The sequence below is a fragment of the Homo sapiens genome, chromosome 7 (genome assembly GCF_000001405.40).
Source record: "Homo sapiens chromosome 7, GRCh38.p14 Primary Assembly".
NCBI lineage: Eukaryota > Metazoa > Chordata > Mammalia > Primates > Hominidae > Homo > Homo sapiens.
In genome coordinates this window covers 121,040,442-121,066,655 of record NC_000007.14, presented here as the reverse complement: position 1 = coordinate 121,066,655, position 26,214 = coordinate 121,040,442, and the positions used below count along the sequence as shown (strand labels likewise).

Sequence of the window (26,214 nt, the reverse complement as noted above, 5' to 3'; positions counted from 1 at the left end):
ATGAAACTGAGACAGGTTGACCTGTAAGCTTGTGAGAGGGGGTAAGATCTTCACAGTTTTTGACCGAAAGATAAAATCTTAGTGATAATTTATCATGTAAAGGGAGAAAATATTAAGTGTTCTGAGGCCTTTTGCCTCTGGATTTTTGTCTGCTTGATTTTTCAAATCCAGGGTAATCCAGTTACCATTATTTGGACATTATGTGTTAGGAATAATGTATAATATGTCTTATTCTTCAAATTAAGTTATATATACACACATATACAATCTGCCTTTTAAAATTAAACCTATGAAATGGGTATTCTTAACCCCACTTTGTGGATTAAAAAAACAAAAAACAAAAAACCCCTGAAGTCACACAGAGAATAAGTGGCAGAGCTAAAATCACTGGTTTCAAAATTTGTGTTTTGTCAACCTCCAAATGAAACACAGCTTAAAATTACACAGGACATTTTGCCTTTTGATATAATGTCTAGATTATATAGTATTATGTTTAGTTTTACTATTACACCTTTATAATCATACCCTATATTTAGGTGCTGACACGTCACTACCTAATCTGTATTCAATATTAAATATTCAGTATTCACAACAAATAAAATTTTAATTTTGTGAATATTGAATTATATATTTATACCAACAGTCTACAACAAAAGCTACGCTTTATAAAACTTAGATCAGAAAATAATGCTGCAGACATTTCTTTAAAGCTACACGTGTAAGAAAATTATCTTCATCTAGAGAAAGATAACATGATGGTAGAAATAATTCCATTTAAAAAGCTGTGCATTCTGTGAAACTATCTTGTTATTCACAGAGATAAATACAAAATTAATGCACTAAACAGAATGTAGAAAGAACTACAAATGCCTAGAACTTAGATGTTCTCGAGAATAAAAAAAATGTTTGAAGCAAAAGAAGATAGAAAATACTTCTTAGTTTTACAGAAGCAAATGTAAAATATAAACTTATGTAAGAATTGCTTGGGGAACTTTTTAAAACACTGGTAATCTATTTCTGACCATAAACAGCCTTTCATTTCTATGATTTTATTCTGTTAAGTACAAAGCTGAAGAAACTTAATGTTCTGGATCAAGCATTCTGAAATGTAAATAGCAACAAAGAAAAACACTTTAAAATCTGTAGGTTCTGGTCAAAAGTAAAAATTTCTTCAGATTGCCTTTTCTAAAGAATTTCTGGATATTTTAATATTGTATTAACGAAAATAATTATTTTATTTGCTTCTCCCCAAAACATTACTTTTTTCATATGATGAAAAACTCTCCAGCTAGAGTTTACAAAAACAAAAAAAATTCAGCTTATGTAGTCAGTTATAATTGTCATATAAAACAATAACTACAGAACCAAATTTACATAGCTGTTTAGTTTAGATATGTATCTTAAATTGAAAGTTGAATTGAGATTATTTTATTTTAATTCTCAGTAAATATCAGTCGATGACTTCAGTCTTTACAGTGGAACATGCCAGTGTGGTTTACGTTTGGAGTGGGAGCAGAAACCCCAATGGGAAAGTTGATGGATTAAGATAGATTATTTGTTTCCTGATTCAACTAGGAGACAAATTAACTAGTTAACAAATCAACTAGGAGACAAAACAAAATTAAAGCTATGTAGATCTAAGTTTTAATTATGTAGTAAAGAACTTTCTGGGGACATAAACTATTAAACATTAAATGTGTTTTAAACAAGAAATTTGAGGAACCCTTTCACTGATGGCTTTTAAAGTAGGCCATCATTTTTTCTATGAGGGCTTATTTCATCTATGAGGGTTCATATACCTTCTGATGCTTTTTCCACTCTGGGAACCTATGAGGAAACTGAAGATGGTAATTTTTGTCCCAAATTCCTAACATAGTTAAAATGCAGAATTTATTCATTCAGTGTCCTGTATTTAACACACAGACAAATTGAGAGGATTCCAGAAAGGAGAAACAATGTTTTTAGGATCAGAATAATTTAATCATAAAGAAATATATACTTTGATAAAAACCCCCAAGTGTTACATAACTGAGAACTACTGTAATTACTTTAAAAATAAAGCAGCAATTGTTTTAAAAACAAATAGAAAGGAGAACAAGAAATATATTCATCTGGCAAATCAGAAGGCAAAACTAAAAGAACACCAGTGTTACGTTACGGTTGTTATTCCTCACTTTAGGTCTTTTCATTGGCAAAGCGTTGTGAACTGCGGAAGATCTGTGATTGCCGAATTGATAGACAAAGTAGCAACAGATGCTGACCTGAGACCATGTTAGCTGCTTCTGCTAAGGGAGCCTGCATATCTCACATGTTTAAGCCTAAGGAAGCAAACGAAAGATTACCTGGGAATCTTCTAACTATTTGACATAATCCTTCCTTTCTGCAAAGTGGCTGCTGTATTTCTGGTAATCTGTTTGCCTGAAAGGAATGAAAAAGATTCTAGTGAGTGAGGCATTCATCAACGCTAAAGCAAAACCAAGCAAACACAAAAAACCCAGAGAGTATAGATGGGATGCACTGTCTAAACCACCCACACCCCACCTTCAAATCTCTGCAAGTCAACATGCAAATCCAGAATAATGAAGTAGCTTATTTGATAACATAAAACTAAAACTTGCCCCTGGGAAGCTTTAAAAGTGGTCCTTGGGATCACTTTTTGAAAACCCTTTCATATTTTGAAGCCATGATATTTGCTAAATATAAAAGAAAATACTTGAGACAAATATAGTAACATAAATAACTTGATATTTAGTGGCAATTCAGTGTTAAACCCGTTCCAAAATTTCATAAACATTCTTCACTTCATACTGAAGGGATTATTTCTAAATATAAAACCCAGTCACCCACAAAACTTCACTTCAACCAAAACTTGTTTTTAGACAGCTTTGTAAATATTATCATAAATTCAAATATATGGAGTTTGAAAAGATTATAAAAGATACAACTTTAATTCTTCCCTTCTCCTGTGAATCTACAAATTGATTAACATCATCCACTTAATCCCCAAACTAATACCCAATATGAGAAAACCTTGTTAAAACCAACAGATCAGTATAAATTAGCTTGAAAATCAGATTCATTTTTGAGATATTGATTACTTTCAAATTAACACACTCTAACCTAATAAAGTATTGCAGCACTATGTCCTGCTGGCATGACTTGATAGAAATAACCCAGCTGCAGTTGGAGAAGAGAGGCAACTGGAAACAGGGGTGGTAGCTCGCTTCGGGCACTTAAGAGAATCATCATTTGCTTTTTTTTTTTTTTTTTTTTTCAGTTTCTTCATTTGCAAAATAAAGCATTTAGAGCTTTTAGTCTCTAGGTTCCACTTCTGCTCTAAGATTTTTACCAAATCAATAAGATACAGTTCTAAAAACTGATTCATTTAAAGTGCTTGGCAACTGTGCATTGATGAAATCTTCCCCAATCCTTGCTACTTTATTAACCCTGTTCATGTGTTCAGCAAACTCTCTTTTCCCCGATAATAGCTGTAAGAAGGAAAAACTTCAGCCCAGATCCTGTATGAATGAAGCCTAGCTTCAGCAGAACCTATTATTGTGATTCTGCACCAGTGGCATTCCTAAACACTACATTGTAAAAGTCCACAAGGACACCAAAGTGTTTATTAGTCCTTTTTCATGCTGCTGCTGAAGACATACGCGAGACTGGGTAATTCATAAAGAATAAGAGCTTTAACGGACTCACAGTTCCACGTGGCTGGGGAGGCCTCATAATTATGGCAGAAAGTGAAAAGCATACCTTACATGGTGGCAGGCAGGAGCGAATGAGGGCCAAGTGAAAGGGAAAATCCCTTATAAAACCATCAGATCTCGTGAGACTTACTCACTACCACGAGAATAGGATGGGGGAAACCGCACCCATGATTCAATTATCTCCCATTGTGTTCCTCCCACAACACGTGGGAATTATGGGAGCTATAATTCCGGATGAGATTTGGGTGGGGACACAGCCAGAACATATCAAAGTGGACGTCACTGACATTCATTTGCACTAAGAATTGAGAAAAGGCTGTAAGTGCAGTACACTTTCAATCTTAAGGCTGTCTCGATTTCTCAAATCCAAAAGTGAGAAATCTCAGAAACTAAATGTAGAAAAAGAAGGGCTTTCATAAACCCTGAATTCTTCAATCCAGAATTTAAAAAGGGCTGGAGGGAACAAACAGCATTGCAAAAGTATAGATAACCCATAATAGACTAATAAAAAGGACTAATACACACTTTGGTGTCCGTATGGACTTTTACAATGTAGTGTTGTAATAGAGATTTTTTGTTTGTTTGTTTTTTAAGTTCACAAAGTATCTTTCTAAATTAGTCTGTGAAAAGCTTCAAAAATCAATGAAATTGAGCCATTTTCCCTAAATAGGGCAAAATCATTCCGTTGCTGGTGAATTAATAGAATCCTTAACAATATGATTCAGAAAGAGAATCAGCACTGGGTAAGTAGCATTAAAGGTTATGGACTGACTCTGATCCATTGCTAACCTTCTCTTAACCAACAAAGCACTTGAAAATAATAGAGCCAAGCCAAGGGAAACAATTGTTCTATCCTTCTGCCTTCTATTTTCCTGTCCCCCAAACAATGACTTCTCCCTGTGTTCCTTCCTCCAAAGTTCATCTTTAGAATTAATAGTGTGGCTGACGACATGACTGTAGCAACATGTGACACCAGAAACATCACCTCTATTCTACTCTGGAACTGAACACCAAACTAAGCAGTTAAACTGAGTAAAATAACAGCACAAAGAAGTAAAAACATTCAAGGGTCATGTGTCATACAGCTGTAGTAACTCAACTATATTACACAGATTATAACTTTTTAATTGTTAAACCTAGTAATACTCTTCTATATCCTACTGCTTCGTATTTTTACTTTTACACGTATCATAAAATGTATAAGATTTGCATCATTAAGTGGAACATCATCAAAGGAGTTTTAATTTGGATTCACTGACTTTTATATGATGAGCTTCTCCAGCTTAACATTGCAATTATTTTTTAATGGACTTTATTTCTTATAGCTGTTTTGGGTTCACAGCAAAATTAAGCAGAAGACACAGAGATTTCCCATATACTCCCTGCCCCAACACACACACAGCCTCCTCCATTATTAACATCCCCCACCAGAGTGGGCCATGTGTTACACTTGATGAACCTACATATCATTATCATCCGAATTATCATTTTTTATCATTTTTAATATATACAGATCTTGTGTTAGGTTTGAATGCCATATATACAATATGCATCTATGTGTATGTGTGTATATTTATACACAGACATTTTTCTTATTTAGCACAAATCCTTTCATATCTTTAAAAGAATTACAATGCACTGATAAAATGATAATAATATTTAAACCCTAGGATATTTCCATGAGATCAATTTTTGAAAAAGGGAATATGCATTAGAAGAGATTTCTATCCCAATATACCTTTCACAATCCTAATGTGTCTGGAATTGGTGGGTTCTTGGTCTGACTTCAAGAATGAAGCCGCGGACCCTCACAGTGAGTGTTACAGTTCTTAAAGGCGGCGTGTCCGGAGTTTGCCCCTTCTGATATTCAGATGTGTTCGGAGTTTCTTCCTTCTGGTGGGTTCGTGGTCTCGCTGGCTCAGGAGTGAAGCTGCAGACCTTCGCGGTGAGTGTTACAGCTCTTAAGGTGGCGCGTCTGGAGTTGTTCGTTCCTCCCGGGGGGCTCGTGGTCTCGCTGGCTTCAGGAGTGAAGCTGCAGATCTTCGCAGTGAGTGTTACAGCTCATAAAGGCAGTGTGGACCCAAAGAGTGAGCAGCAGCAAGATTTATTGCAAAGCGCAAAAGAACAAAGCTTCCACAACGTGAAAAGGGACCGGAGCGGGTTGCCACTGCTGGCTGGGACAGCCTGCTTTTATTCTCTTATCTGGCCCCACCCACATCCTGCTGATTGGTAGAGCCTGGTAGAGCCCAGTAGTCTGTTTTGACAGGGCACTGATTGGTGCGTTTACAATCCCTGAGCTAGACACAAAGGTTCTCCACCTCCCCACCAGATTAGCTAGATACAGAGTGTCCACACAAAGGTTCTCCAAGGCCCCTCCAGAATAGCTAGATACAGAGTGGACTGGTGCATTCACAAACCCTGAGCTAGACACAGGGTGCTGATTGGTGTGTTTACAAACCTTGAGCTAGATACAGAGTGCCGATTGGTGTATTTACAATCCCTGAGCTAGACATGAAGATTCTCCACGTCCCCACCAGACTCAGGAGCTCAGCTGGCTTCACCCAGTGGATCCCGCACCGGGGGCTGCAGGTGGAGCTGCCTGCCAGTCCCGCGCCGTGCGCCCGCACTCCTCAGCCCTTGGGTGGTCGATGGGACTGGGCGCCGTGGAGCAAGGGGCGGCGCTCATCAGGGAGGCTCCGGCCGCACAGGAGCCCACGGAGGGGGTGGGAGGCTCAGGCATGGTGGGCTGCAGGTCCGGCGAGAAATCGAGCACAGCGCCACTGGGCTGGCACTGCTGGGGGACCCAGCACACCCTCCGCAGCCGCTGGCCCGGGTGCTAAGCCCCTCATTGCCCGGGCCGGCAGGGCCGGCCGGCTGCTCCGAGTGCAGGGCCCGCCAAGCCCACGCCCACCCGGAACTCCAGCTGGCCCGCAAGCGCCGCGCGCAGCCCGGGTTCCCGCTCGCGCCTCTCCCTCCACACCTCCCTGCAAGCTGAGGGAGACGGCTCCGGTCTTGGCCAGCCCAGAAAGGGGCTCCCACAGTGCAGCAGTGGGCTGAAGGGCTCCTGAAGTGCGGCCAAAGTGGGAGCCCAGGCAGAGGAGGCGCCGAGAGCGAGCGAAGGCTGTGAGGACTGCCAGCATGCTGTCACCTCTCACTAATGTGTGATAATATGCATCTAAATTGTTTCTATTACATATTGTCAGAGGCAAAAGTAAAATATTCTTTTGAGACAATCTGTTAATAAGGCAAAAATATATTAATTATAACCATTTATGGAGTGCTTATAAATTAAAAAACTAAAACTACAATAATATTATGAATTTATTAGGAAGCGTGAACACCTGAATTTGAACTAGTTACAAAATGTAAGAAAACACTGGAGGGGGAAGAAACTGATTTTTTTTATTGTTCCTGAACATTAAGAGTGACACACACATCATGTTGCATTTTAGAGAAATGCTCTTTTTCCTCATATCTGTAGAAATGTTCATGCTTTTACTTGAACAAAAATTAGAACTTCTCCCAAAGCTGTTCATTATCATCCACAATGAAAAGAATTAATGACGAGGAATTAGGAGAACCAGCTGATCAAAAGAAAAATGTGTTTTCTCCCCATGTCTCAAGTGCAATTATCATTCCATCAAATTCACCTGAAAATTCCCTGGGATGCTTTAAAATAAGAGCCATTTGGTAGTTCTCAGTACTCCTATGTACTAAGAACAGCATCCTAGCTTTAGGGACTGCTAATCCTACAACAATTTAGAGCTAGAAATCAATCTCTCTGCTTTTGAAACACTAGCACCTGTCTACTTGCGGTGAGATACAGCCCCAATTACTAAACTTAGTGTTACCCCAAATAATGGACCTCGCTTCACTTTTATCATCACACAGACTAATGGTTTTAAATTCATGTTACTATTCTGCTGACTGGGGAGACTCCTGGCAGTTTATTTTCAATAACAGATCTTATGACCATTTTCATTAAGCTCTAAAATTATGAAGCTCTAATGGGATTAGTAATCTTAATTTGAGCCAGTGTCCTCTCTTTGTTCATTATAAGGTTATTGACAATTCTACAACATCTCCAACAAATTTGAACCAACTTCTGTTGTGAATATCTATGTTGTTTACATAATAAAGTCTTGGTTCATAAAGCTTCAAATTATTCCTGTTATAGAGTGACAGTTATCTACATGTATCATTTAGAATCTGTGTTTCCTTAAGAATACTCATTAGGTTAGGCTGTAGGTGCTTTGCCTAAATACATCAAAAGGTGCTATTGATATGATTAAGAAAACATAAAGTTGAAATGAGACTGCCTGAGTTTGCATCTTGGTCGTTTTATTAGCTAGGAGGTCTTAGACAAGTTTTATAACCTCTCTGTGCCTCAGTCTCCTCATCTGTAAAGAATGGACATAAATAAACATGTAAGCACTTGGGATGGTGCCTGGCAAGCAGTAAGGAGATGTAAGTGTGAGCTATTATTATTTGTCATTTATACCTTTAAAATGTCTTCAGGATCTAGCCACAGCTCACCACCCCATTGCTATTCTGCTAGCCCATGTCCCTCTCATCTCACACCTACATTATTACGATAATTAGTCTCCCTGTTTTGGTCTTTGCTTGATGGATAGCTTACTTCGACAAAACAATCAAGGCAATCCTGTAAAAATGCCAATGGACTCATGTCATCTGTCATCTGCGTGCTCAGAATCATCCAATTACTCTCCACTTAACAAGAGTAAAAGCCCGCAGTCCTTACGACAGTTCCAATGGCCCCATCGCTGAGCTTCCCCAGCTCCAGGTACCTCTCTGCCCTCACCACCTACTACATTCACTCTACTTCAGTCACATGGAACTCCTTACGTTCCTCAACCAAGACTTTCTCCCTTTACTGTAGGCCTATTGTTCCTCTCCTCTGAGTCTTGGTGGATTTACCCCAGACACTGGCATGGGGAGTGCCCTGTCTTCCAGGCCTTACTCAAATGTCACTTTCTTGGTGATCTTAAACTCAATCCCCCAATATTTTGTCTCCTTGCTTTATTTTTCTCCTTAGTGCTCTTTACCATCTATCATATTATTACTTAGCGACTATTTTCCCCCGTCTACCCATAAATGTCTAAGCTTCCCAGTAATATATATTTTTGTCTGTATTGTTTAATTGCTATCTTCCCAGCACCTAAAGTAGAGCTAAATAAATATGTTTAATAAATAATTGTAGAAACAGTGAAGGGATAGATGAATAAATGAATGAATGAATGAGTCAATAAAACCAAGAATAAAGTTATTGAGACATTCTGCAAGTCAAGCCTCTCAGGCCTTTTGTGGCCTTCATCTTGATAAATGGTATTTGTGTAAATTTAGTGTAAAGCCATTATCCTAAGTGAATTAAGTCAGAAACAGAAAATCAAATACTGCATGTTCTCACTTATAAGTAGGAGCTAAACACTGGGTACTCATGGACATAAAGATCACAGTGAGTGAAATTGGGGACTTGCAGAGGAGAAGTGGGGGGCAAGGGTTAAAAAGGGTACTATGCTCAGTACCTGGGTGACAGGATAAAATCATACCCCAAACCTCAGCATTATACAATATACCCATGTAACAAAACTACACATGTACTCCTGAATCTAAAATAAAAGTTGAAATTATTATAAAAATTAGAGGCTGGGCACGGTGGTTCACACCTGTAATCCCAGCACTTTGGGAGGCTGAGGCAGGTGGATCAAGAGGTCAGAAGTTCGAGAACAGCCTGACCAAGATGATGAAACCTCATCTCTACTAAAAATACAAAAAAATTAGCTGAGTCTGGTGGCGTGCACCTGTACTCCCAGATTCTCAGGAGGCTGAGGCAGGAGAATCGCTTGAACCTGGGAGGTGGAGATTTCAGTGAGCCGAGATTGCGCCATTGCACTCCAGCCTAGGCAGCAGAGTGAGACTCCATCTCAAAAAAAAAGAAAAAAGAAAAAATAGAGAGCATGTGTTGTATATTTCAAATAACGAGAAGAGAGGACTTGAAATGTTTTTATCACATAGAAATAATAAATACTCAAGGTTTTGAGTAGCCTATATACTCTGACTTGATTATTGCACATATTATGCATGAAACAAAATATCACATGTACCTCATAAATATGTACAAACATGATGTATGAATTTTTTAAAAGTGAAGCAGGTATAAAGAGAATTAGAGAGCAAACCAAGAGGTTTAACCCATGACAAATAGAAGTTCCAGAAAGTAAAAAGAGGAAAGGGAATGGAGAAATGATTAGAGAAATAATATAAGAACATATCCCAGAGGAGATTTGAAAACTTACAATGGTAAATGTTATTGACACTTTCATTGTCACTATTTTAGCTAAAGTTTTATAAGAATTAGGAGAACACAGTAAAGCATAAAAAGGGGATGTGGAGAGAGAATGGAAAAGGTACTGAGTGTGGGATAAAGGTTTTAGGACTGTCTGCTAAAGCAGTGATTCACAACTAGCATACTTAAATGAATAGAAAATAATGGTATTGCCTCATCCAACTGCCAAATCAATTCAACTATGAATGTTTGTTGTTTTTTTCTTTTTTAATAAGAATTAACAAGGTAAACTTATTTTAAATAGGAGATTGCCCTTCCCTAAAACAGTATTTTTCCTGATGGTAGAACTAACATACATGTATGATAGAATATTTAGTTAAATGTAAAGAGGAAAACAGTAATCACTCATAATTTTTCCAACCAGAAATAAATACCATTCCTAACATTTCAGTTATTCAGTATTTTTCTACACATATTAAAAAACACAATTTGGATTTGGAACATATAAACTGTTTTCTGATTTGCTTATTTTACTCATATTCTGAGCATTTCCATGTGATTAATCATGTATGAGTTTCATATGCATTATTTATTTTTCCAAAATACTTATTTTGGTTCCAATTTTTTACTATAATAAGTAACACTATTATCATAATAATTGTTCAATCCTCTGACCAGAAAGAATAATATGTAAGTTCCAAGAAATAGAATTATTAGATAAAACACATTCAAAATTTTGATTTTTTTGTTTCTATTTTTGATTTCTTCCTTTTTGAAATATCCAGGAAACAAGTGTACTTCTATTCATTTCTGGGAGAAATTGTATTTTCTAACAGTTTCCAAAACATCTCTATAAAACAATTGTCTTTAAATAAATGTACTTTATAGGCTTTGCTGCTCAAGTCATTCATTAAAACAAAGTATTGACTATGGGCCTTGTGATCAACAAATAATAGAGTGAATTTTTACTAGCAACAACAGAAAAAAACTGAACTATATGAATGTATAATTATATTTTATATGTATAATTATATCATAATTATTTATTATATCTATATTTTTACACATATAATTATATTTTATGTCACACCTGTAATTTGTGTTAGTGTTTGTGTAATATACCCACATTTAGTGTGATTAACTATTGTGATTGCTATGTAAATATTGCTTCACAATCAGATAAAAGCTTGAAATAAATGATATGCTTACAGAAAGATTAAAAAATTAATTTACTGTAAAGTAACCCTGAAGGCAGGAAATTTATCATGTGTGACTTTCTCTATTTTTTAAATAAAAGGAACTGCAACTTGCCACATTTATAGAAACGTTGGGCAGCTTCTTAAAGTTAAAACATTTTAAAAATTTTTAAATTTAAAAGTTTTTAAAGTTTCTTAAAGTTAAACATGTATTTACCAAATGAATCACCCTTAAGAGAGAAAAAGTTATATTCATACAGAAACCTCTATGCAAAGGTTTATGGCAAGTGTTATTCATTATGGCCATAAACTGGAACAAATCCAGATGTCTTTTAACTTTTGAATGAATAAACAGCCTGTGGTACATCCATAAAATTGAATCTTATTCATCAATAAGAAGGAATAAACTGCTAATTGACACAACAGGGATGAATCTTAAATGAGTTTGCTAAGGTGAAATAAGCCAGACCCAAATGCTACAAATTATATGACTCTACTTATATGACCTTCTATTTAAAACAAACAAACAGAAAACAAAAACAAAACAAAAAAACAATAGGGACAGAAAATAAGTCGGTGGTGACTGTTAAGGGTAGGGATCACAGGAGGGGATGACTTCAAAGGTGCAGAACAAGTGAATTTTGGAGATAATGGGACCATTCTGCCATGACTGACGGGTGAGGATGGATGCATAACTATGCATTTGTCAAAACCCATGGAGCTATAAACCACAAATAATGAATTTTACTACATGCAAATTAAAAAAAAAAAACCTCAACCCTGATTTGCAGTGGGGGTGGAGGTTGGGGACTCAAATAATACATAAATTGCAGCAAATGACCCTAACTGTATTACTGAATGACATAGCCACACTGAAGGGAGTGAGGAGAAAAGATATGCCCTACCTTCAGAAAATAATATTTCGACTGAATATTATTAGACAAAAAGACAAGAAGACCACACACAAAACGTTCACTTTTATTAGTAAATTTGTTTCTCACAGGGGTATAGGTTAACAATTCTGAAATTAATGTATGGGTATGCTAGGGTTAAACAATAGGGAAATATGATGTAAATGAGATCCAATTTTCTCACTGTCTGAGAAAGAAGTTACAAATGATGACAGCAGAAGGCTATAATAAACCTTGTGGTGTTGGATGGCAAACACGGGTATGGTAAGAATCAGCTTTTTAATATGTACATATAGAGGCAGACACAGAAATAAATACAAGTGTATGTTTGCATGGATTAGTAGACATACAGATATTTCCAAGCCCTCTCTGCTGAGAGAGCTCAAACTCAATGACACCCTAGTAGCAATGGGCACACCTAGTACCCAGATCTTTGTTTTTAAATATCATTCTGCAATAACAGGAATGGGGTTCCTGGATAAATGGTTAATTCCAGCCTGGGACAGGAAAAATGCAAGATGAATTTGGAGTATCTCTTGGTGCTAAACAGTAAGGAAATGTCCAAGGAAAGAACACATGACATGTCAAAAGGGCCAGGAGTCAACATGAATAAGCTCTCAATGACCAAAGCTGGAACAATTTGAGCAACAACAAAAAATTTAATAACAATAGTACTGATTTATAACCTATAGAATACAACAAATATCCATTAGTCCATACTGACATAAATAAATTATTGAATAAATAAATTCGGGAGAAAAACTAGCTTTTCCTTACAGAAGAATTCCAATTAATAATTATGAAAGTAATAAGAGAAATAGAAAATCACCATTAGAACACCAGAATACAAATTGTTGGGAGCAAGATCCACCTCTGGATCCTAAAATTAGAGGGCAAAATTTGAAGAAAAACAGGATCTTTTTACAGTCTCAAAATATTATCTCCCAAGATGCTTATGAATTATATGGGGAAAAATCCAACAAACACCACCTTAGCCAAGTGATCAAGGTGAACATCACCAGTAACAAGAGACAAGGACATCATATGCCCCTTGATATTTTACACTGAGAAGGGTAGACTGCTTCCAAGAAATTCTTGCCAAAGTTTCATAACCTTATGAAGAAATCATCAGACCAATCCAAATTGAGGATCATTCCACAAAACACCTGACCAGTACTCTTCAAATATGTCAAGGTCTTGAAAGAAAAAAAAAATTGCATCAGATCGAAGGAGAGTAAGGAGATATGAAAACTCAATGCAATGAAGGGTAGTAGATAGGTTCCTAGAGCAGAAAAGGGGCAAACATTTTTTTTAAAAGATGCAATCTGAATGATGTTCATAACTGAGTTAACCGTTCGTATCCATATTAATTTCTTAGTTTTGATGAAAGTACCATGGTTATGTAAGATTTAACATTAAAGTAAGCTCAGTGAAAGGTATTTGGAAAAATCTTTGTATTATTTTTGCAATTTTTCTGTAAGTCTAAAATTATGACAAAATTAAAAATTAAGGCCAGGCACAGTGGCTCACCTCTGTAATCCCAGCACTTTGGGAGGTCAAGGTGGGCGGATCACTTGAGGCCAGGAGTTCAAGACCAGCCTGGCCAACATGGCAAAACTCAGTCTCTACTAAAAATAAAAAAAATTAGGTGTGGTGATGCATGCCTGTAATCCCAGCTACTTGGGAAGCTGAGCGTGAGAATCACTTGAACCCAGGAGGCCGCAGTTGCAGTGAACCAAGATCACGCCACTGCACTCCAGGCCTGAGAGACAGAGTGAGACTCTGTCTCCCAAAAACAATAAAAATTTAAATTTTTAAAAGAGAATATCAGCATAACTGACGCTGTACTTTATAATTTCCTTCTCTACCTATTTCACCCATAACCCCCTTCTCACCTTCTCCATTGTCATCACTGGCTGATCTGCTCTGTTCTCTTCTCATCACATATTCCACTCGCCTCCAGTGACTCACGCAATCATAAAGCTAGCAAGTGTCTTGGAGACTGTCCGGTGTCTAATGCCTTCTTATTTCAGGAAAAGATGGTGAAGGCTACAGAGATTAAATAACGTGATCAAAATCCTTTAGCTAGTGAGTGATGGCGCAAAGGGTTGACCACGAAAGCCCAAGGAGAGGGGACAAAAGAGTCACGGGAAGAGTTTTCGTGTGACTTCGTGTTGTCCAGGTGCCAACCGTATGTTTTGGGGCTCAGGAAACAAAGTGAAGAACTGAGTTAAATAGAATAATGTTCACCTTGGTCTATACTGAATGAAGTCTAGTTTCAATTCAGATAGGACTGATGAATGCAAGGACTTTGGGCATCTCAAAAATTTTACAGCTGTGGGGAGAGATTTTGCACCCCAGGTTGGGAACATAACTATCACAGGAGCCATCAGTGGCAGCCAAAGTAGTATGGGGTGTTCCTCAATGCATTTGGTGTAATGGTCTGAAACAGCATACCAAAAACACTGTTTCTAAGTACGTGGAAGACACTTGCTAGCGAAATAGATGGGAAAGCTTTTTTTTTTTCTTTCATAATTGAGATTTTATTGGATGTGGATCAGTACAGACACTTAAACTTGTACACAATTCTTAACATACATACCGAAAATCTAAAAAGCCACGTATTGTAATTCTTTTTTAAAGTTATTCCAGCGACTTTCCAGCTTAAAATTTGGAAGCAAATTTTCCTTAAGGGGCTATCAATATCTTCACATGTTGATAAGCTGTTACATACATTTCACCAATTCACAACTGAATAGCATATACACTACATATTCAAATTTTTAATCTTTCACAGCATAACAACGTTATTAGGAAAACAGGACTACCACAACCACAGATCTTACAGAGTGCACACAATTCTGACAGGGAGAAGCCAGGATCAAGGAGTGGTTTTCTTTGGAAAACAATTCTACTAAAAAACAGCAAGGGCATAGAAGTAATTTAAAATGTTCAAGACATTAAATGCAGGACTGACTTCATATTTCCATTTAATATGCTTTGTTTTATAGGATATAAAAACTAACCCCCATCTATGGAATGTTAAGCTGACACCCGAGACAGTCAAAGCCTCCCATAATTCAATATCCCACACTATTTTCTGGTTGTGCCAAAAAAATAAACAACCAGCAAATGATTTTACCTCTAAAAAAAAAAAAGGCATTTACATTTAAAAAATGGGAGGAGGTGGGATTCCCTCCTTCTTAAAAATGTTTCTAGAGCTACTAAAAAACTTGCATTTACAAAATAATTGGTAAAAATATTCCTCTGGATTGTACAAGAGGGGAGTCAGGGACTGCTGGTAAGACATGGTATACTGTATTAATCAGACTTGGTTTCTTTCTCTCCTGCTTCATCAGAGGCTGGACTCTCCTCAGTTTTCATTTCCCCGTTTTCTGCAGGTAAATCTTCTTTAGTTTCTTGGTTTGCCACTTTGGCCTGTTTTCCCTTTGCTCTCCTTTTCCCTTTTGTTTGCACATTTTTGCCTGAAGATTTATCCTTCGCTGCTGCCTTTTTCAGCTTCGCTTCCACTTTTGCAGGAGCAGGTTTAGCTGACAACTGCGCCAATCTCCTCTTGGGCTCTTCCTTGATGGTCCCTTCATGACCTTCTTCTTGGGCATCCTGGTGACGAGGAGGGTGCGTGCCAGGTGCCTGCAGGCCTCATCGTACCGAGAGCCTTCGCGAAGCTGGGCTGCCTGGCCGCTGCCGCTCCTCCCGCCGCCTGAGCTGCTGAGACCCACCAGAAAGCTACTTAAGACAACCTGTGGCCGGGCACGGTGGCTCACACCTATAATCCCAGCACTTTGGGAGGCCGAGGCGGTGGATCACCTGAGGTCAGGAGTTCAAGACCAACCTGGCCAACATGGTGAAACCCCGTCTCTACTAAAAATACAAAAAATTAGCTGGGTGTGGTGGCAGACGCCTGTAATCCCAGCTGCTCCAGAGGCTGAGGCAGAAGAATTGCTTGAACCTGGGAGGCGGATGTTGCAATGGGCTGAGATTGCGCCATTGCATTCCAGCCTGGGCAACAAGAGTGAAACTCCATCTCAAAAAAAAAAAAAAAAAAAACCTATATTGCCCCCAAAATACCAATACTAATGCCAATGTGACCTCATTTGTCCTCATTAGCTGGTGAAGCCTGATGTGCATTTGCGGACGACAAAGAAAAAAATAAACCATGTGATAAGTATAGAATTTGAGATATGAATGAGGATTTGTATGAGTATATAGCGAGAGAAAGGCAAGGAAGCCCTGCCTAAAATCCAGGTAAGCAGAATAAAGGTTGTAAGTACAGAGAATAGATAACAGATCTGAGAAATATTTAGAGGATAAATCCCATAGTATTTGCAATTGTAAATGACAAGGAAGAGGAAGGGCTCAAGGATGAAGGCCAGATTTCTATTTTAGGAGATGACAGAGTGGGTGATTCCACTTATAACCAACAAAACAGAAGCTTTGGAGCTTTTGAGGTGATAGTGGTGCTGAGTGTAACAGATTTAAGCAGCTGATTTTAAGGCAAGGGAACACATCAAGGTTTCTCAACCTTGCCACTATGAACATATTTGGCCACACAAGTATTTGTTGTGGGCATTATACAATATTTAGCAGCATCCTTGGCTTTAACCTATAGATGCCAGTACCAAACATCCCCCCAGATGTGACAAAACCAAAACTATCTCTAGACATCGCCAAATATTACTAGAAGAGACAGAATCTTTCCCTGGTTGAAAATCACTGAGGCAAAGAGGACTGAGAAAGAGCATTCCAGGCAGACAAAACAGTAAGAATAAAGGTATGTGACAAAACAGCACAGGCATTTAGGGAACAGTAAGCAGTTTCATATCACTTGCAGCATGACACCCAGTTAGAAACAGATAAGAAAAGGGTATTGTTAGGCAAAAGCCACTCACAAAAAACCTTGAATAGCTTATTGTGCTAAATATTCACCACTTGGCCCTCCAGGTCTCTGCCACCTGCTCTGTCCCCCAGGAGGCTGACGTTTGTGGGTGGCATCACAGAGAATCTCTTGCCCTTTGACCAGCAGTTAGCTCGGACCAATGGGAGGCACTGGCAAGAGATTGGAGGGTAGCAGTAGAGAGAGGTGGGGTGTTTATCCCCAAGGCTCCCTCTCTGCAGGTCTGTGATATGGCAAAAGCTACACTCCCCTAAGTTTACCACACCTTTCCAAGGACACCTCCTTCTTGGTTGCAGCTCTCATTGGATTCTAGCTATGCCCTTCCTTCTACACATCCCTCTTACGACCCAGTGTAGTGAAACTTTTATAATGTTGCTAGTTCCCAAGTGCCTCACTAGGCCTTTTAGTTTCTTTTTCCCTGCCAAAACCTCTGTAAATAGTTTCTTTATTAGTTTGTCTTCAGATACATCTTTATGAGTATGGCATTTGATTCTTCCTGGAAGCCTAATACAAAGCAAATATTAAGACTTTATTCTAGGGTTGATGAGAAGCCATTCAAGATTGTAAGCATAGATGTAAAAAGGCTAGTTCACCATTTTATATTTTTCATCTCAAAACTGTGAGTAGGATAGATTTCAGGGGTAAAATATTTGCTTCAGAAAAACCATTGAGCAAGATTTAGCAATAAACCAGGTAAGAGATGATGATTATCTGACCAGAATAAAGGTAGTAAATACAGAGAATAGATGACAGATGTGAGAAATGTTTAGAGATAGGCCTGGCATGGTGGCTTAGGCCTGTAATCCCAGAACTTTGGGAGGCCGAGGCAGGTAGATCACATGAGGCCAGGAGTTCAAGACCAGCCTGGTCAACACAGCAAAACCCCGTCTCTACTAAAAATATAAAAATTAGCCAGGCGTGGTGGTACACATGTGTAATCCCAGCTACTTGGTGGCTGAGGCCCAATAATTGCTTGAACCTGGGAGGCAGAGGTTGCAGTGAGGTGAGATCACGCCATTGCACCCCAGCCTGGGTGTCAGAGGGAGACTTTGTCTCAAAAAAACAAAACAAAAACAAGAACAGAAGAAAAAAAAACGTTAAGAGGTTAAATTCAGTAGTATTGGCAATTAATAGAAGGTCAATGCCAAGGAAGAGGAAGGAAGGGCTCAAGGGTGATGGCCCTTCTATCTTAGGAGATGACAAAGTGGGTAATTTCTATCTTGGGAGATGACAGACTGGGTGATTCTGCTTACAACAAACGAAACAGAAGCGCTGAAGCTTCTGAACACAAGAGCAGGAGAGAATTTACTGAGGAAAAGAATGAGTCAGTTTTCGCCAGGTTGAGTTTGATATGTCTGTGGGACATCCAGGTGCAGATGTTCAGCAGCCTGTTGCATATTCAAGCCTGAAGCCTGGAAACGTGCTCTGTACCTAGGTAGATTTCGGAATCTCAACTACAAATGGTTGTTGAAATTTCAGGATTGGAGTTAGGGAACACAGGGATTCAAAGAATGGGCAGAGAAAAGTTGGTTGTAAAGAAAACAGAGGAGGAATGGCCAGAAATGTACATGGAGTCACAAAAGCGTGTGCTCAGCCCAAATGCCAAAAAAGTGAAGAGTTAGAAGAAAGGAGTTATCCCCAGCAGTTTGGGAGGCCGAAGCGGGCGGATCGCGAAGTCAGGAAATCGAGACCATCCTGGCTAACACGGTGAAACCCCATCTCCACTAAAAAATGCAAAAAAATTAGCCGGGCGTGGGACTACGGGCGCCCGCTACCACCGGAGGCTGAGGCAGGAGAATGGCGTGAACCCAGGAGGCGGAGCTTGCAGTAAGCCGAGATCGCGCCACTGCACTCCAGCCTGGGCGATGGAGCAAGATTACGTCTCAAAAAAAAAAAAAGAAGAAGAAGAAGAAGAAGAAGAAGAAGAAGAAGAAGAAGAAGAAGAAGAAGAAGAAGAAGAAGAAGAAAGGTGCTATCTAGATGGCGAATTGTAGGAATATCAAGTGATCTGGGTACAATACTCCATCTCCAGTTAGGGACTGTATAAGAGCTATTGGATTTGTCACTTTTCGTACAGATTCGTTATAGGTATCAACAATATGTAAATTTTCCAGCACAGTGATTAGCACATGGTAAACATTGGATTTTTTTAGTTAAGTTTTCTAAAACCATTTACAAAAGTTCACACGATATAAAGAGTAAGTACTAAATGTCAATTTTAAAATGTAATTAGAAATTTTATAAATTTTATTGTAACTTATGATACCAACTTAAGTTAGAAAAAAAATTAGAAAAGGCATCTAAAAAATAAAGACTTTACCACTTCGGTGAACAAGTGGTCAGATTAAGCAACACTTCATAGGCTGCAGACTTCTAGATAAAGTTGGGTCTTACTAAGTAAAACAACAATATCTGCAGCAGCTGAAGCTGAGGGAGATCTTATCAAACAAAAAGTGGTGACTATTTTATGGTAAAGTATATAAGGCATGGCCAGTTGGAAGATTCTCCATAGATACAATGACTCTAATTCTTTAAGACTCTTAAACATTATAGACCAGGAAATGCCAGTGTTAATATCTGTAGGGCTGATAAAATCTGTGCACATCTTGAGAGTATTTACCTTTTGATGTAAACCTAACTGGCACATGACTTCCTTGGATATACAGGGTGTTCCTTCTGCTTTCTTAGAAGACAGGCAAATGAGCAGATCCCAAGAGCCCAGATCACCTAAAAGCAAAAGAATATTCAAAACAAATAAGTTTTCATCAGATATTTTAAAAGCAATATTTAATTCTTCAGATTAAAAAATGTAATTATTTAAATTCTGAAACACAAGTAAATGATCTCAAATATACTTAAGACAAAATGTCAGTAAAATAACTAAAATTCAACTTTTTAAATTTTGGAATTTCTAGTATTTTTATATTTAGTATTTTATTCTATAGAAAATGTAATTGTCTATATTATACATATTATAAAATTCATTTAAAAGACATTATAAAATTCATTTAAAAGATTGAAATTAGAATACCTTAAATCACTTATTTTAAAAATTAATAAAGTCTTTTTTTGTAGATTTGGGAGAAAAAATAATAAAATCTTTTAAGATAGAAGAAAGCTGTGAAGTCAAATAATGATAAGAAGTGAAAACATCAAATATTTTGTTCTGGGCTTAGGTCTTCCCACTGTTTTTCATAGATTTACTCGTCAAACATCAAATTTACTTTTGTGATGTTCCATAAAAGAAAGTGTTGTAATAGAGAGAAAATTAAATTCAATGAAAATAAAAACGACAGATTTTGCATAAAAGAAATTTGTAATATAGTTATACATAGCAGAGTTCAGTTCAAACTATGGAGTATAACACAGACGAAAGCAAATGATATTTCAGCTATTTCACCAAGGACGAAGCTATTTGCCAATAAATCATAGTAACTTGCCAAAATAATCTCAGAAGGGTACATTCTTGCCTAATCTCTAAACATTTTAAAATTAACATTTGTGTGTATACATGGGTTTATTTTTCTTTATTCACTTTGATTTATATATATTGCTATATATCTATATATCTATATCTACATATAGATATAGATCACATGCCCTACATATAATTGGTGCTTTAAAAATATTTCTTGACTAATGCATGAATAACTACCCCTTGAGAGCATGGTAAACACATTACCTCATGGAGAAAAAACAACAATAAAAGCAACAGAAGAAATGTATTTCAATTTTTAATGTTATTCAAAGATAATATAGAAATAGGTATCTCAAAAATAACCAGGAAAAAACCCCTCTGGGTAATGTCTAAATGAATTGGTATTACTTAGGAAATAGTCCTCATTTTGGATGAAAATCCAATTTAAAAAACAAACAATTTCTGTATACATTCTCTCTTTTGTTGATCAGTCCTGAGATAAATATTCTGAGTAATTATTTATGCCAGACCTCACCAGTCATCTCCTGCATTAGGTCTAGTAGCTTCTAAAAGGCTACAAAGTAACCAACTTCTTTAAATACCTCGCTTTTCAAATTTTTCAAAAGAATTTCTCACTTGACAAGCATAATATTTCCAAAGAAAGGCTTTATGAGAAAAGTATTAATAAGGAAGAGGGATCTATGAAAATTAGAAATGAAATTTCACTCCCCACCAATCAAGTCATTTTCAGTTTCACAAATCTTGTGTTGTCTGGGCTACTGGTTCCTCTGTTTTTAATTGTCCTGTTGTTGGAAGGGAAACCTGTCTGCCAAACAAGGAATCCAGGCAATTGAACTCAAGCTCTTATCCTAGAACTTCTCTGTTTGCTTGATGTATCTCAAGATGCTGGAAGACAGCACAATAAGGCAAAGGAGCAAGGAGAGGTGCAGCAGTTGATTTGGGGATGAGAGAAATCTCATCGTGCAGCAACCATCAGGCCTTAGGCTTGTAAGATCTACCCTGCTCCATACACTCTCACTTTCAAGAAAAGTTCCCATAGATTCCTATAGACAAAACCAAATACTATATGATGAATCCAATACTTTATTTTAAAAGTGCACCTGGCTTTTTCATCCCAAACTTTTTGATTTGGATTCAAAGCAAAACACAAAGACTGTTTCATTCTATATCATTTCTAGCCCAGGAAATACTAGAACCCTAGAAGAAACCTCCTGTCATATGATTCCCAACTAAATATTTTAAGAAGATAAGGATATGCACAGAGGGATTTCAAATCATGACCTGCAGTGTTTTGGTCTCAGAGTAAGTTTTATATTCCTCTACGTCTAAAGCGTACCCTTCTTCACTATTCAAGGCACATGCATAAATTCTAGAGTTGATAGAAATATATATTTAAGCTATAAATGTTTAAAATGGGAAGACACATTTAAATAATTCAAAGCATTGAATTTATAAAGAACCTTCTGTGAACAGAACATTGTACTCAAAGTATGAAAGTAAATAGCAAAAAAAAAAAAAAAAAAAGAGCAGAAAGTCACTGCTCTCAGCAATCTCTTTGAGGGGTCTAAACATTAAAAACAAAGTAGGAGAAAGTAAGATAACTTACAAAGCATTACACAGCTTTTTGCCATTCATAAGGGTGACCACCTCATCCCTCAAAGATATTTAATTAATATTTTAAATTAATAATTTAAAAATACTGTATAGTCCACAAATCTCCTCTTAAAATGAAGTAAAGTGTAACTGAAATTTCAAGTAATATCTTCATACACCTTCTTCCCAAATGCTTGCTAGCACGGTCTAAAAATGCCGATTGTTTCCTCTCAAAACTCCCACTGTTACCCGCATTGAATCCCACTTCAATGTCCCCAAAGCTATTTCCTAGTTAAACATTTAGTAGACCTTTTCACTTTGTCTTCATTTCTATTTCCAACATTAGAAGTCAGCTCCCTCTCCTGCTTTCCAAAGCCCTTTTTCTTTTTTTAATGAAGTTTCACTTGTTTCATGAGAGCTACTATGTATTAAAATTTAGTTAAAGAAACCCTAAAGCCACATTGAAATGTAGAAACTGGGCAGAGATCAAAGTGCTTTCACTAGCTAAGTAAATCACATTGAGAAGTTAGCGTTGGAGCATTTGGGATACAAATTTGTACCTCAGCACAATTACAAATTACTATATATTGCGGGGCTTTGGAGCCAAATTTCACAGCTGAAAGCATGAGCATTTAGGAGGCAAATGCCCAAGGTCTCCAGCAGAGATTGCAAACTAAAAGCACACAGGCAAGTCAAGCCCTCAGACGGGATACATTTGGCCTGCACAGCGTTTGTTTTGTTTTTGTTTTAAGTATTTGCCAAAATGCAAATGTCAGCACAATTCACATAGAAAATTCCAATTTCAGCCTTTATTTGAAAACTTGGAAGCTCTGGTAACACTGGGTCCATATCCTACAAGGCAGTGACTGGCTGGAGCCACTTCCCACATGTTCTCCAGTTTGCCATGGTCTCTTACCCCCACACCTGGCCCTAACTCTGCTTGGGCTCTGTCTCTGGTAGCAGCACACCATCCTAGACCTGGCATAAAATAGAGTGTTCCAGGTTTCCATGAGTTGGCCATTTGACAAATTGATGTTCCATGTATTAGCTTTTAATGAATTAGAGTTGTTCATTAGATAAATTGGTTTTATTAAGATAACATTAGGTAAACTGCTATTTAGTTAATTGGCCCTAGAGGGATGTTTGAATATACCCTTTGATCTCTATATTTATCATGCTATTCCATAAGATTGGGGAAGGTCATTCAATTCCAAGGACATTTTGTTGGTTACATTAAAGGTGGCAAGGGCTGCAACTTAGCCTCTTAGGGTTCCTTCCTTTCAGAGCCTGGAAAAATCAAGAGTGGTCTCTGATCATCTTTTTTTTCCTTCCATCTCTTCTTCCCAGTTGGAGTGCAAAAGTGGCCCAGAATCTGCTCCTACCTGGGCCTTGCCTCATCTCTTTTTCATTCACACTCTCTCGTTACACTTTTTTCCATGTTGAGCCTGTCTCAAGGCTGTTGCCATACTTGTAAATGGCCTAGGACAGGCTCTTTCTAAGCACTGGAGTAAATGCTCATTGTTTATGTCTTTCTCGATGTGCCTTTTCTGCACTGAGAAGGTTGACGTTAGAGTAAGAAGTGCTAAGACATCAGATTTGTGTTAGCTGAAAACAGGCAAAGCCCCTGGTCAATTTGGGTGGTGACTTCTTAGGTTCTCCTTGCATGGGGAAAAGGACAACTCTATATGATTTAGCCTTGCTCTTTAGAATACTGCATTAGGATTTGGGGGCCAAAGCCACTACAAATAAATTAGTAGTAGAAGTAGTAGTAACAATGATGTGAACAGCTAATAGTTCTTCAGAACTTACAATGTGCCAAATATTGTTCCACATATTTGTATTATCTCATTTATCCTATACAACAATCTATTTGATATGATTATTCTATTTTTTACAGGCACAGAAAGGTTAAATAACTTGCCCAACTTCGCCGTTCCAGTTAGTGGTGGGAAGAGAATTTGGATACAAACAACTAGCTCTAGTGGCCATGTTCTTGAACATTACACCATTATCTCCTTTGAAAACAGGGAAGCAACAAAGAAATTTAGCTATTGATGCCTTACATGTATTAATTTATGTAATATTTCCAACAACCCTGTGGAGTAGAAACAATTATTACATGTTATTACATGTGCTTTACAAGTGAGGAAACAGACACAGAAATTATCCAGCTCTAGCCTTTCTCTCTCACTGTCTGGTACATCTGTTTGTCTTTGGAAGCTCAGAGGAAGAAATAACTACAGCAGGTATAACTCAGGTATCCCTAGACCCTCACCTGAGTATCGTGCCCCATCATACTATTGGCAATACCACTGGTAATCAAAGTTAAATCTTCCTATATAAAAGGAGCTAGTACTTACCTCGCAGGTACTCAGGAACTAGAAATATGTACTTGGCCTCTACCTATTTTTGAAAATATATCCTTAAAACTTTCTTAGTTTTTTTTTTTTTTAACAATTAAAATTATTTCTTTCCCTGTTGCGGAGAAACCAGAACTTCCTGATCAGGCTTACCAAGGTCTTAAATAGAAAGGTCATAGGGCATAATTCTAGGAAAACAGGATGTGGATGCTCCAGTCCCCATCTCAGAATGTGAAAAACCTACAGGCACCTCCCAAACACATGGAAGCAAAGCTGCTGATAACACGAATCACTATCATGCCTTCATAGTGTTATCTCTGGAAAAGATGAAAACTTCTCAGACAATTTTGGAAGGAGACGTCAGGGTCCAGATCAATTAATTCAGATATAAAATGGCACTGACTATAGTTTTTATCCTTCTCTAAGTGTTCTCAGAAACCAGCTAACATCTGTTCATGTTAAAAGTAAGAGCAATTTTTAGAGGTTTTTGTTTTGTTTGGTTTTAAAATGAAGCATCTGCCCTAAGGAGTGAAGCTGCCTTTAGAATATTTCCAGTTTCTCATAGACAGGCTGCCATAAAGCAAACACTCATTTCCTGGCTCACAAATGACCTCCTTCGCTGATAACATCTGCAAGATCCGTAATTTAATCCAGAGAACAACAGAGAAATCTGAGATAGCATCGTTCATATTAGCATCAAATGCTGTTTATTCTCAAGGAAGGACAACTTTAATTTTCTGGCACACGTAATAAAAATCTAAGAATATTAAGTCTCTTCCTGCTTTATTCTTCTCCACAGTGTTTACCACCATCTCACAGATTATATATATATATATATTTTTCTGTATTTGTTTATTATGGTTCCCCCAATTTGAAAATCTGCTCCATGATGGCAGAGACTATATCTATTTTGTTTACTGCTAAATTCTCAGTACCTACAATAGTGACTGAAATGTAAAGCATTTGCCACATATTTATAAAATGTATAAATGAGTGAATCAGTGAATAACTGCATGTGAACAGCAAACAATTATAATTAAATCAAAAGCAAGTATATTGAAATTCTATTCTATAAGTTAAAAATAGAATAATAGTAAGAAAAACATTAGTTTTTTAAAGAGGAAATAAATATAATTTTGGTTCTTAGCTGGTAAGGATAAAAGAAGAGAAATAAACATGAGAAGAACAAAGTTAATAATTCATTGTGCTTAAATTATACAAACAAATGGGAGATTCCAGTGCTTTACATATTGGAAATTTTCTGTAAACACTTACACATTAATTTGAGGCAGAACAGATTTATAAAGTATAGTTTGGAAAAAAACATGTCCAAGAGCTTCTAGAATACAAAGCTACAAAAGCCAAGCCTCATTTACTTATTCACGATATTAAACTATCATATTCCATAAGGATACAACAAGGATGATTTCCTGAGTTTTTTTCCTTTAAGGTGAAGTACTAAAGGTGTTTAATTTTTTAGTAATTCATAATATTCCTTTATAATATAATATGTGAGGATATTTTATCTGTTCACTGTTCATTTGTATTACCCTTCTTTTCACAACTAAATTATAAAATCCCTATTAAATAACAAAGTATTTACCTGTATCCATCCTTTATCAGGATTAGTGCATAGTATTATGTTCATGAGTACATTTTTAGCTTATTGATGATAAATTAGGGTCTATACTTGATTCCACTACAAGATTAGTTGGATATAAGTTAATCATTGCAAATTCCTCTATCTTTTCCCAAATTTCTCAAGTTGCATTAACCAATT

The 26,214-nt window shown here is 37.2% G+C and overlaps 1 protein-coding gene and 1 pseudogene across 5 annotated transcripts in view, besides 2 other annotated features; both read right to left on the bottom strand.

The window, feature by feature from the left end:
- CPED1 (cadherin like and PC-esterase domain containing 1) overlaps nt 1-26,214 on the bottom strand; it is a 308,732-nt gene that overhangs the window by 230,787 nt on the left and 51,731 nt on the right. For all 5 annotated transcript variants that reach the window (NM_024913.5, XM_047420856.1, XM_047420857.1 and 2 more), the window contains 2 exons: nt 19,663-19,769; nt 2,343-2,418 (listed from right to left, as the gene is read on the bottom strand). In NM_024913.5, the coding sequence (NP_079189.4) occupies nt 2,343-2,418; nt 19,663-19,769 (183 nt within the window). The remainder of the gene's footprint in view (nt 1-2,342; nt 2,419-19,662; nt 19,770-26,214) is intronic.
- On the bottom strand, nt 15,253-15,867 carry HMGN1P18 (high mobility group nucleosome binding domain 1 pseudogene 18; annotated as a pseudogene).
- Nucleotides 24,547-24,841: an enhancer, noted in NCBI's record as "tiled region #12289; K562 Activating DNase matched - State 5:Enh". NCBI's record gives its function as "activates a minimal TATA promoter and a strong SV40 promoter by Sharpr-MPRA in K562 cells {active_cell/tissue: K562}" and the evidence as "EXISTENCE:reporter gene assay evidence [ECO:0000049][PMID:27701403]".
- Nucleotides 24,547-24,841: a silencer, noted in NCBI's record as "tiled region #12289; HepG2 Repressive non-DNase unmatched - State 24:Quies". NCBI's record gives its function as "weakly represses a minimal TATA promoter and a strong SV40 promoter by Sharpr-MPRA in HepG2 cells {active_cell/tissue: HepG2}" and the evidence as "EXISTENCE:reporter gene assay evidence [ECO:0000049][PMID:27701403]".